General features: G+C 54.3%; 1 protein-coding gene and 1 pseudogene across 7 annotated transcripts in view, besides 2 other annotated features; both read left to right on the plus strand.

The window, feature by feature from the left end:
• Positions 1–8,869, plus strand: part of SIPA1L3 (signal induced proliferation associated 1 like 3) — a 301,162-nt gene extending 292,293 nt beyond the window's left edge. For all 7 annotated transcript variants that reach the window (XM_047438486.1, NM_015073.3, XM_017026518.3 and 4 more), the window contains 3 exons: positions 2,362–2,497; positions 4,627–4,708; positions 6,597–8,869. In XM_047438486.1, the coding sequence (XP_047294442.1) occupies positions 2,362–2,497; positions 4,627–4,708; positions 6,597–6,740 (362 nt within the window). In that variant the 3' untranslated portion in view covers positions 6,741–8,869. The remainder of the gene's footprint in view (positions 1–2,361; positions 2,498–4,626; positions 4,709–6,596) is intronic.
• RN7SL663P (RNA, 7SL, cytoplasmic 663, pseudogene) lies at positions 734–1,032 on the plus strand (annotated as a pseudogene).
• Positions 3,373–4,056: an enhancer, noted in NCBI's record as "H3K4me1 hESC enhancer chr19:38693513-38694196 (GRCh37/hg19 assembly coordinates)". NCBI's record gives its function as "activates a minimal SCP1, AML or CMV promoter by ChIP-STARR-seq in naive H9 embryonic stem cells {active_cell/tissue: H9 hESC(naive)}" and the evidence as "EXISTENCE:reporter gene assay evidence [ECO:0000049][PMID:30033119]".
• Positions 10,113–11,096: an enhancer, noted in NCBI's record as "H3K27ac-H3K4me1 hESC enhancer chr19:38700253-38701236 (GRCh37/hg19 assembly coordinates)". NCBI's record gives its function as "activates a minimal SCP1, AML or CMV promoter by ChIP-STARR-seq in primed H9 embryonic stem cells {active_cell/tissue: H9 hESC(primed)}" and the evidence as "EXISTENCE:reporter gene assay evidence [ECO:0000049][PMID:30033119]".

Here is an 11,152-nt window from a genome sequence, read left to right on the forward strand (position 1 = left end):
GAGCCTGGCTGGTGGCACTGATTTCTCCCCCAGGCTGTGCGTCACAGTCGCCTAGGGAGCTTTTTGCTTCCTTATAAAATTAATAGATGAAACACAGAAGGTTACGGGGGAGAGGGGGGAGTAGCAGAAAGACCTGGGAGGAAGCACACCAGCACCACCATGGAGGTGCCTCCCCGGGAGCCGGAAAGGGGCTGGCAGGGAGTGCAGGTCAGGGTGGTTTCAGCTTGCCTGGAGGTGTGGTTTTTAATGAAGATATATGTGGGTTTTCCCTTGCAATTCACATAAGTGGAAAAGACTAAAGGAATTCTCATTAACTTTGGTAGATGTGTTCATAGCATAGTAATTTTCTTAAATATATATATATATATTTTATCCACTAGAGCTACTTAGTGAAGTTTCTACAGATGAAATACAAAGACATCTAGAATTTGATTTAAAATATTCCAGGTTGGGTGCAGTGGTTCGCACCTGTAACCCCAACACTTTGGGAGGTCAAGGTAGGAGGATGGCTTGAGGCCAAGAATTCGAGACCAGCCTGGGCATCGTAGCGACACCCTGTCACTACAAAAAAATTTATTTTACTTATTTATTTTTTAGAGTCTCACTCTTTCACCCAGGCTGGAGTTCAGTGGCGTGATCTTGGCTCACTGCAGCCTCCACCTCTCAGGTTCAAGCAATTCTCCTGCCTCAGCCTCCTGAGTAGCTGAGATTATAGGTACTAATTTTAAAATTAGCCAGGCATGGTATCACACACCTGTAGTCCAAGCTCCTCGGGAGGCTGAAGCAGGAGGATCGCTGGAGCCCAGTAGTTCTAGGCTGGAGTATGCTGTTCTGATGCGGTGTCTTCACTAAACTCAACATCAATATGGTGACCTCCAGGGAGCCAGGGACCACCAGGTTTCCTAAGGACAGGTGTACTGGCCCAGGTCAGAAATGGAGCAGGTCAGAACTCCCATGCTGATCAGTAATGGACTCGGGTTTGTGAATAGCCACTGCACTCCAGCGTGGGCAACACAGCAAGACCCTGTCTCTTAAAAAACAGATGTCATTATACATTAAATTCAAGATAGAAAAAAATAGCTATAAAGGGTATTATTCAGAGAATCGGAGAACATTTGCAGATGACTGTATATTAGATAATATCATGGCCAGGTGTGGTGGTGCATGCCTATAATCCAGCACTTTGGGAGGCTGAGGCAGGCAGATCACCTGAGGTCGGGAGTTCGAGACCAGCCTGACCAACATGGAAAAATCCCGTCTCTACTAAAAATACAAAATTAGCTGGGCATGGTGGTGCATGCCTATAATCCCAGCTACTTGGGAGGCTGAGGCAGGAGAATCACTTGAACCCGGGAGGCGGAAGTTGCAGTGAGCCGAGATGGCGCCATCGCACTCCAGCCTGGGCAACAAGAGCGAAACTCCATTTCAAAAAAAAAAAAAAAGTAAATGGGCAAAGTATTAACAATGAGTGGTGCCAGGGAAAGAGTGCTGGGGTTTTTACTGTGCTATTCTTGAGGCACAGAAATGAAAGTTGGACCCAAGGAGCTGCTTGCCTCTGGGGCTGGCCCTCTGCCCTGCCCTGCCCTGCCCCTGATGGTGCCGCCCTCAACACACGGCACACAGGGACGCCTTGGTGTTTTTAACACCTCCGAGGATTCCATTGTCTGGCTGTTCATAGCTCACTGAACCAGCCACTGTTGGAGGGCACTAGGGCGGTGGCCAGCTGTTGCCATTACAGGAAGAAAATCTAAGTCACGTTTGAAAACGCAAACAGCTCAGGTGCCCCCAGTGCCAGTCACGTGTCCAAGGCGGGACCCAGGAATCTTCACTTTCACTGGCAGCCCCGTGCGATTTCTTTTCTGTCTTCAATATGCATGATGTGATCTGTCTCACTTCTCTTTTTGCTTTTGAAATCTTCCCAGCTTCCTCCGAAGGAGAGCGAATTGTATAACGAATCCCCGTGGACCTGGCGCCAGCCCGTCCACTTTGTAACCCTTTTTTCCTACCTTTTACTTGTGGACCAAGTCAAGTCACTTATGTTGAGAGCACGCCAGGTTCGGAATCCGGTCGGTTGCTAGCTCGCACTCTCATCTAACTGGCTTCTTCAGCCCTTGCGTTTTGTATGAACTGGTCGTTGGATCGAAAGCCTCGATCGGAATCAGGATGGGATTTTGATTGTGTTCTTGTTTTGTGTGTTCATTTGGTTGGTTTTTTGGCAAGAATCTATCTAAGTGCCGATGCAGTCTGTCCCAAGTGTGATAGGAGGCATCATGGAGGTTTGCAGGGAGAGGCGTGGTCCGTCTGTTGCGGGAGAAGCCGGGAGCCTTGCTGACCCCTCTCCTCCTCCTCCCTCCCTGGCAGTGCAAAGAGCCGTCTCACTCTTCTCTCTGAACGACCCGGCCCTGAGCCCGGACATCCCGCCTGCACACAGTCCTGTCCACAGCCACCTGAGCCTGGAGAGGGGACCCCCGACCCCCAGGACCACCCCTACCATGAGGTGAGGTTTCCCTGGGAACACCCGGGTTCATACCAGCGGCAGGCCTGTGCAGTGGAAGAGGCTTACCCAGAGAGAGGCAGCCATGTGGGTCACCCCCACCACTCTCCGGGCGGAAGCTGATATAGCAGCTACTCCCCCCTCCTAACAGACTTGGAAGTCATTACACTGCACCTGTCTGTGCACTGGGGATCCACAGTGACCAAGACAGACTCTGCCCAGTCCCAACAGATCTCCCAGTCCAGCAGAGACGACACTTGAATCAATACACACACAGTTGTTTCGCTTCCAACTTTGAACACTGCTAAGCAGGCCGGGCGCGGTGGCTCACGCCTGTAAACCCAGCACTTTGGGAGGCCAAGGTGGGTGGATCACTTGAGGTCAGGAGTTCAAGACCAGCCTGACCAACATGGTGAAACCCCATCTCTACTAAAAATACAAAAATTAGCCGGGCGTGGTGGTGCGTGCCTGTAATCCCAGCTACTCGAGAGGCTGTGGCAGGAGAATTGCTTGAACCCGGGAGGCGAAGCTTGCAGTGAGCCAAGATCGAGCCACTGCACTCCAGCCTGGGCCACAGAGGGAGACTCCATCTCAAAAAAAAGAAAAAAAGAAAGGAAAGCTGCTAGGCAGTGTCTCCCAATCCCCCAGCCCTGTGCCTCTCGTCAGCCCCGTCGCTGCCAATCTCCCGCCTGTCTGCTCCTTCGTCTCCTCCTCTGCAGATTCCTAAACCTCACAGACTTCTGCCTCACGCTCACCCTTCCCAGCCTCCCTGCCAGGTGCCGTGCTGGGCTGTCTGAGGACCTAGTGGCAACTGAGGCCAGGCCTGGCCCTCAGGAAGCTTCACGGGGGAAGGAAGAGGACGGGGACAGATCTCTCACATTTGTCATCTCACGCGTGGCTTCTCACATTCAGCGCAGCATATTTGACTGCACTCACTTGGCAGAAAACAAAATTAAAAAGAGGCAGAGAGAATGTAAATGGCACATTCTGCCTGTACATGGATTTAAATAGTGCATTTCACACTCGTCTGCACACCTCACGGTTCAGGGTTCTATATACAACCATCCGTGCACTGTACTTCATGGGCAGTGGGAGCAATTTTTGAGGGTAATTTTGACTTCTTGCTTTTCACACTCTGGCTTCAGAACTCAACCTCCACCACGAACGTAGGCCCCACTGTAATTACAAGAAATCAGCAGTTCCAGATGGTGCTGCTGGGCTGAGGGGCAGGAGCAGCATGGGCTGTGGGAAGCAGCGGGACCTGTGGCCCCTGGGCGGCGCTCCTGGAGTCCATTTGCCCCCATCTCCCTCTGCAGCTGCAGATCCCCAAGACTCAGCAGCAAGGTTGTAGGAAAGGGTGGGCGAGGCAGGAGGGCCAGCCCCCGACCGCCACCGCCTCTGTGCCTGTGCACGCACGGCATCCAGTGGAGCCTCCTTCAGCCCCAACTCCAAGCAGGAAAGGGCTGCGCGTTCTCTGCAGCGGCCAGGCAGGCCCAGGGCTGGGAGGATCTGCAGAGGGGCAGCTACTGGCCATGGGCCCCTGATTCAAATCCTAGCACCAGCACGTGGTAGCCATGCAGCACCTCCAAAGGCCACAGTGGGCAGAGGAGCTCTGTGAGATGAGCCGGGCAGTCTGGGGCTTGTTGCGGGGTGGCTCTCAGTGACGGCCACGTGGTCAGCATCACTGCCAGGACCATTGTTGGTCCTGCCCACAAGGGCAGGTCCTTTTGACCATCTGTCCATTCTCGTGCTTCCTGTGCCTGGACCCGCCAGGTGCTCAGCAGGTGTCTGTAGAGTGGGCTCTTTGTATCCTGGAGGTACGAAGAAGGGGTCCTCCCTGAAGTCACATGCACGGCCCAGCCTCAGGGAAAACGCACACTTAAGGGTGGGCAGCCACCCTTCCCCTGGCCTGGTGCTCCTAACACCCCGTCCACATCCACAGAGGTGCCCTTGGTGGGTGGAGTGTGCCGGGTGGAGGGCTGGCTTCCTGCTTCCCCTCAGAGCTTCTCCTCAGGCTTTGCTAGAATGTCAGGGATAAGGGGGCCTGTACCCCCAGGCTCCTCAGATGTGGGCCAGAAGCCTTCCCCAGGGGCTTTAGGGCCTCAGGCTGACCTTGTCCCTGGTTTTTCCAGCGAGGAGCCACCCCTGGATCTGACAGGCAAGGTGTACCAGCTGGAGGTGATGCTGAAACAGCTGCACACTGACCTGCAGAAGGTAAGGCCGGGGGCCACGCCCTCTCCATCCCACTTCCCAGACACTGGGCAGGGCAGTCAGCAGGGATCAGGCACCTGCCCCCGCCATGCAGGACCCACCCCACCCCCACACCTCCTGTGTTTGAGTGTAGTCATGGGTGAAGAGTAAACAGTGATAACACCCCAGGCTACCAAGCGCTCAGAGAAACTCATCCATTCTTGGGGGGAGAATAATCAGCCCAGGCTTTTCGGAAGGCAATTGGATAACATTTATCAAAAAAACACAAAAAAACTGTGGCTGGGCGCGGTGGCTCATACCTGTAATCCCAGCACTTTGGGAGGCCAAGGTGGTGGGTCACCTGAGGTCAGGAGTTCGAGACCAGCCTGGTCAACATGGTGAAACCCCATCTCTATTAAAAAGTACAATAATTAGTCGGGTGTGGTGGCGGGTGCCTGTAATCCCAGGTACTCAGGATGCTGAGGCAAGAGAATCGCTTGAACCCAGGAAGGTGGAGGTTGCAGTGAGCCGAGATCATGCCACTGGGCTCCAGCCTGGGCAACAGAGCGAGACTCCATCTCAAAAAAAAAGAAAAAAAAATGTTGATCCAGTAATTCCACTTGTGGGAATTTATCCGTGACAGCATGGGTACAAAGAGATTGTGAACAAGGACGTTCGTTGCCACACTATTGGCAATAAAAAATTGGAGCCAGCGTGGCTGTCACTCAACATGAGAATGGCTGTGTAAATTATAGGGTGTCCATGCAGCGGAACAGCTTGCAGCCAATTAAAGTAATAACAAATCTATATATTTACTAACACGCAAAAGAAGTCCAGTAACTTACATAAAAACCAAAGCGAGCTGCAGCAGTGTTGTCTAGAATATCACCATACTTATTTATTTATTGTTTAACCACCATGGTTGAGAGGGCCATCTAGAAGGTGACAGTCAATTTGTTCTTTGGACTTGTCTCCATGGGGCGGAAGGATGAGGAGGAGACTGGCTGGGTACGTTGGCTCACACCTGTAATCCCAGCACTTTGGGAGGCCGAGGTGGGTGAGGTCAGGAGTTCAAGACCAGCCTGGCCAATATGGTGAAACCCCGTCTCTACTAAAATACAAAATTAGCCGGGTGTGGTGGTGCACGCCTGTAATCCCAGCTACTTGGGAAGCTGGGGAGGAGAATTGCTTGAACCCAGGAGGCGGAGATTGCAGTGAGCCGAGATCATGCCTCTGCACTCCAGCTTGGGCGACAAGAGCAAAACCCAGTCTCAAAAAAAAAAAAAAAAAAATGAGGAGGAGACTTTTATCTATTGTTTCTATACTTCTGGGTAAAAGCCAGAAAGGTGGCAGAGTATATAATGCGTAAGTCTTCGAGCCGTGGAATCAAAGGGGCCCAGGTTCTGACCCCCGCCCCACTGCATAATGCTGCGCAACCTGAAACAGGTCCCTGCCTTTCGGGGGCTACGTCCTCCTGGAAGAAGGGGGTCTGCTCAGGCCACCCTGCATCCATGTCCCAGCTCCCCACTTGCTGTGTGAGGCTGGGGTCCTCTTCCAGGAAACTAGGGACAGCGACAGTCCCCAAGTCCTCGGGTAGTGTGAAGGTGGGATGCGGTGACAATAGTGATGTTTGTCAAGCGATGACTCCACATGTGGTTGCGTTCCGGGAGCTCTACATAGATGAGCTCCAGACACCCCTCAGCCTCCTGGTAGAGTTGCGGGAACCAAGTGACTTGCCCAGGGTCCCTCGGTTGTGGAGAGGCAGAGTGGGATGTGTGCCCCGGCCTGGCCTGGCTCTAGTGGTTGGCTCCAAAGCACAGCCGGGCCAGGGCTCACAGGCCTCAGGGAGCCATCGGCTGTTCCAGGAGCGGCCAAGCCCACCCGCCTGATGCCAGCTTCCCACCCTGTGCAGGAGAAGCAGGACAAGGTGGTGCTCCAGTCAGAGGTGGCCAGCCTGCGGCAGAACAACCAGCGGCTGCAGGAGGAGTCGCAGGCCGCCAGCGAGCAGCTGCGCAAGTTTGCGGAGATCTTCTGCAGGGAGAAGAAGGAGCTCTGAGGTGGGAGGCCGCCGCCCGCCTTCGCTCCTTCCCCTCAGGCCGTGGCCCTGCTGCCTCTCTCCCTCCACTCAGCTCCCAGCTGCCGGTGTGACCAAGATGACCCATCCAGGGCCCTCCCCATGGACACGGAAACTCCGATGGCCTCACTAGGGCTGTGAGTCAGGGTCAGCGCGCACAGCCCTCATGCCCCAGAGGGCGAAGTGGTCTCAGGCCTCCCTCCAAGCTGCCCAGCTGTGGTCCCGGTGAGCTGGGCTGTGCTTACACCGCTCCCGGGCCTGCCCCGCTGTCCCCATCTAGCCTCTTCCTGGGACCAGCCCTTCGAAGCTGATGGGGACGGAGAGAGGAGCCAGTCTCCAGACGCCTCGGCTCCAGGAGGTCACACAGCAGGTTTCTGCACCACGCACAACAAAGTTGCGGCTTGTGGGGCCGAGGCCCCTGCATGAAAAGTACAGCGTGAAAGCAACCCTTTCTTCCCCACACCCAGAGAGGTGAGGCCCGCGTGGACACAGACCAGGGCGCCTCGGTCCCTAGCACGTGAGCTCCAAAAAGCACGAACATGATCCCCTCCCTAACCCCCTCCTCCCAAAAAGCAGCCAGGAGCACTTTCTTAGAGTTTAAATTATTTTCTTGGGGGCCTGAGGATAGAGAGAGGCAAGGCTAGCCTCCAGAGCCGATTTATTTGAGAGAGAAACTCTATTTGGATCTCCAGGACGGTTTATACGATCTTTTTCTATCAGCTCCTCTTCCGCCAGAGGCCACTGCACCTGGGCTAGGGGTCCACAGGCCCCTCCACCTTCCAGCTAACCAGGCCAGGCCGGGGCGGTGGAGCCACCACACAGCCGACTCTCTCCTCCTCCTCCCGGCACGACCTGGCCCTGACCAGCAGCCTCGGCCTCTTCTGGGTTCCAGGAGGGGCTCCCGAAGCCCTCAGGACAGGGCTGGAGGAGAACAGCCTTCATCTCCTCCTCTGGTTTTTTTTTCCTTTGCAAGTCTCCCAGCCCATCTCTCCGAGCAGCGGCCACCAGACCCCCTCACCATGCTCCCCGGGGAGCACTGCACCCCGCGAACCCCACTGGACGCTGGTTCTCTAAAGGCAATAAGGGGCGGCCATGCCGGTGTGGTACCACGCTGTTCCTCCAGGAAACCGTTTCTTTTTTTCCTTCTTTAAAAGCAAACAGAAAAAGATATATATATATATATATATATATTTATTTTTTCATGTAGAGTTGGCGCCAGAACAAGCCTGTATGGCCACAGTCTGTGGATTCATCCCCCCAACCTCAAGCTGAGGACCAAGGCGTGTCCCCTGTGGGCTGGGGGTCAGTGGGAGGACCAGAGGGATGAAGTCAGGGCAGGCCGGTGCCCTTTTTGGGAGGCACCAGGCGGGGAGGAGTTGGCGGAGCAGGTCTGGCTGTGAGCCAGCACCAGGCAACCCGGCCCTTGTCCAGGGACCTCTGCTGCCTTCTCTCTGGGGTCAGGAACCTCAGAGGAGGGGGCTCTGGGGACTGCATAGGACGCAGGCACTCGGAGGTGCCGGTGTGGATGGGTGGGGGTGAGAGAAGAGGGTTCTTATCGCGTCTCCTGTGATCAGCCTCTGGCCCCCTGGAGGAGGAAACCTCAGCGCTGCCCCTGCCCCCACCCTCACCCCCAACACCAAGAGTGAGGTGGGCGTGCCCCAGGCAGCGTCCTCAGCCCTGGCCAGCTACTGTGATGCCATCTTCTCCCCCATCCCCTTCTCTGGGGGGCCCACCCGTCCCCCACCCCCACCCCTTAGACCCTCATCGGGTCCCTTTTTTTTTTTTTTTTTCAGTTGTCTCCTCCCATCTTCAGATCATTCGAATCATTTTGGGGACTTAATCATGTACATGGACAAGTGTAAATTATGATTTTTGGTTTTGTTTTCTGTTATTTTTTAAGGATTTCTGCAAAAACAGATCTATTTAATTTGAGGTTGATGTTCTATCCAATGGCCGAAGATAGCAGCAGGTTTTTTTTTTCATATGTTGATTTGTTTCATTTGGATTTTTTTTTTATTATTCTTTATTGTCTTTTTTTTTTCCCCATCCCTGTCTTGAGATTTTCTGGCATGTTTCTGGAGGTTTCAAAGGAAATAAAGGTTTCATAGAAATGGCTTGTGTGTTCACTTTTGGGGCAGCTGCCTGGAGTTGCTGACCAGAGGGTGTGGTCCAGCATCGGCCCCTCCTCCTGCTCCTGTCCCCAAATCCCCCACACCATGACCACCACACACATGTCCTAAGAACCAGGGGCACCTGCCTTGCTAACTTCTTTTCCTTGGAATCCAAAGGACAGAAATCCAACACTCAGAATGTGAAATGTCCTTAAGTTCAAAAGAGTGAGATTCTGCCTCAGAGGTCATATACTGGAGGCCTGAAGGCCAGCCCCAGCCCAGAGGGTTGTGTTGGGTCTTAGAAATAGTGGCCAACTTTTAATCTGGACATTCAGCCAGGTGCAGTGGCTCATGCCTGTAATCCCAGCACTTTTTGAGAGGCTGAGGCAGGAGGATTGCTTGAGCCTAGGAATTCAAAACCAGCCTGGACAACATAGCAAGATCCTACCTCTAAAAAAACCTTTTTTTTTTTTTTTTTAACTTTTTTTCGAAACAGAAACTCTGTCACCCAGGCTGGAGTGCAGTGGTGCAATCTCAGCTCACTGCAACCTCCACGTCCTAGGTTCAAGTGATTCTCCTGCCTTAGCTTCCCGAGTAGCTGGAATTACGGGGACCCGGCTAATTTTTGTGTTTTTGTAGAGACGAGATTTCACCATGTTGGCCAGGCTGGTCTCGAACTCCTGACCTCAACTGATCTGCCCACCTCGGCCTCCCAAAGTGCTGCATTACAAGTGTGAGCCACCGCGCCCAGCTTAACTTTTTTTTTTAATGGATATTGCACATGAGGAAGGCCAGGTTTCCAGCTTGGTTGATCTGTCCTTTGCTGCAAGACTCACAAGGGGCCCCTGCCTCCTTTGGCCCTGGCCACATGGCTGCATTTGGGACACTCTTCCCCCTTCTGTCTGTAGAGGTGGGAGCAGACCCCTGCTGCCACTTGCCAAGTGAATGCTTTGGGGGTAGAAAGCAGCCCCTGATCGCCCCAGATCTGCATCTGGCCTGGTGAACATTTGCATTTTGGGAACCGGGATCAAACTGGTTTCTGAATCAGGAAATTCCTCCTGAAAATCCCGAAGTCCAGCCCCTTGAGGGAAGCCTAGCCTCCTGACGGGGCTGGCCAGGTGGGGTCTTTCTGCCTCCCTTACCCATGTACCTGTCGTGGAGTTTCACATCTCTGAGCTAAAACCCAGTGCTTCTCTGACTCAGACCCTGCCCCCTCCAAAAAATGTCTTTTTCCAAAAGGCGTGGGGCTGGCATCCGGAGGAGCAGGACCAGCCATTCCCACATCTCCTAAAAATTCTGGAGTTCTAGACACCCTCCCTGTCTCCGCCCTCCTCCTCCTCGAGGCCCCGTCCTCAACCCGCACTGCCCTCCCCCCGCCACCGGGCGAAGGGGGCGGGAAGCCTGGGAACAGGCTGTTCTCACATCCTCTCCTGGCGCCGGAGCCACGCCAGCTGCTTCCAGCACCCCACAACTCGCGCGCACGCCAGCCCCTGGTCGCGCCCAAACTGTGCTTTGAGGCCCGGCCCTTCCCTTCGTGTCCCAGTTTCCAGCTTCCTCTGCCCGTCTCGGACATCCCTGTCTCTCCTCCCCAATCTTTCTGGGTCCCTCATACCTCCGGCTCTCTCTGCAGATTGTTCTGCTGTTCCCCTAAAGTCTGTCTCCTTCTCTCCCCTGCCGCCCGCGTCTCTCCCCATCTCTGCCTGTTGTCCTGGGACTTTGCCTGCCCCTGATCCCAAGTCTCTCTCTCTCCACCCGCAATGTGGCTCCCTCTCACTCTTCCCTCTCCTGATAGATGTTACCTCCTTCTCTGCCTCCCCTCTTGGAGGACCTCTCCCTAAATCTGCTGCTGCTCTTCCCCAATCACCGTCCTCCTTCTCCTCCTCCCGTCTCTCCCAGCATGTCAGCTATTTTTTATTAGTTATTCCCTCTCTGCCGTTAAACCTCCTTCTCACCCCTGCTCCCTTCCTCTCTCCTGGTCCTTCCTCCTGTCTCTCTCCCTTCTGCACCCTCTTGCTCTTTTTTCTGATTCTCTCAATAACTGTGTGACTGTCCTCGTCTCTTTCTCTCTCCTGATCTGTGTCCTAGTTCCCTCACTCCTCACTCCCGCCCCCCACCCGTCGCCCACATCTCAGTCTCTCTCCCAGTGCCCGTGTCTAGATACCCTCCTGCCCTCCCTTAGCGCCTCTCTTTCCACCTTATCGCCACCGCTGATTTGCCCCACATCCAGGACACGGAGCCCCCTGGAGATGTCTGGGTCTGGGATGACACCTCCTGACACCCCCG

This window comes from Homo sapiens, chromosome 19 (assembly GCF_000001405.40).
Source record: "Homo sapiens chromosome 19, GRCh38.p14 Primary Assembly".
Lineage (NCBI taxonomy): Eukaryota > Metazoa > Chordata > Mammalia > Primates > Hominidae > Homo > Homo sapiens.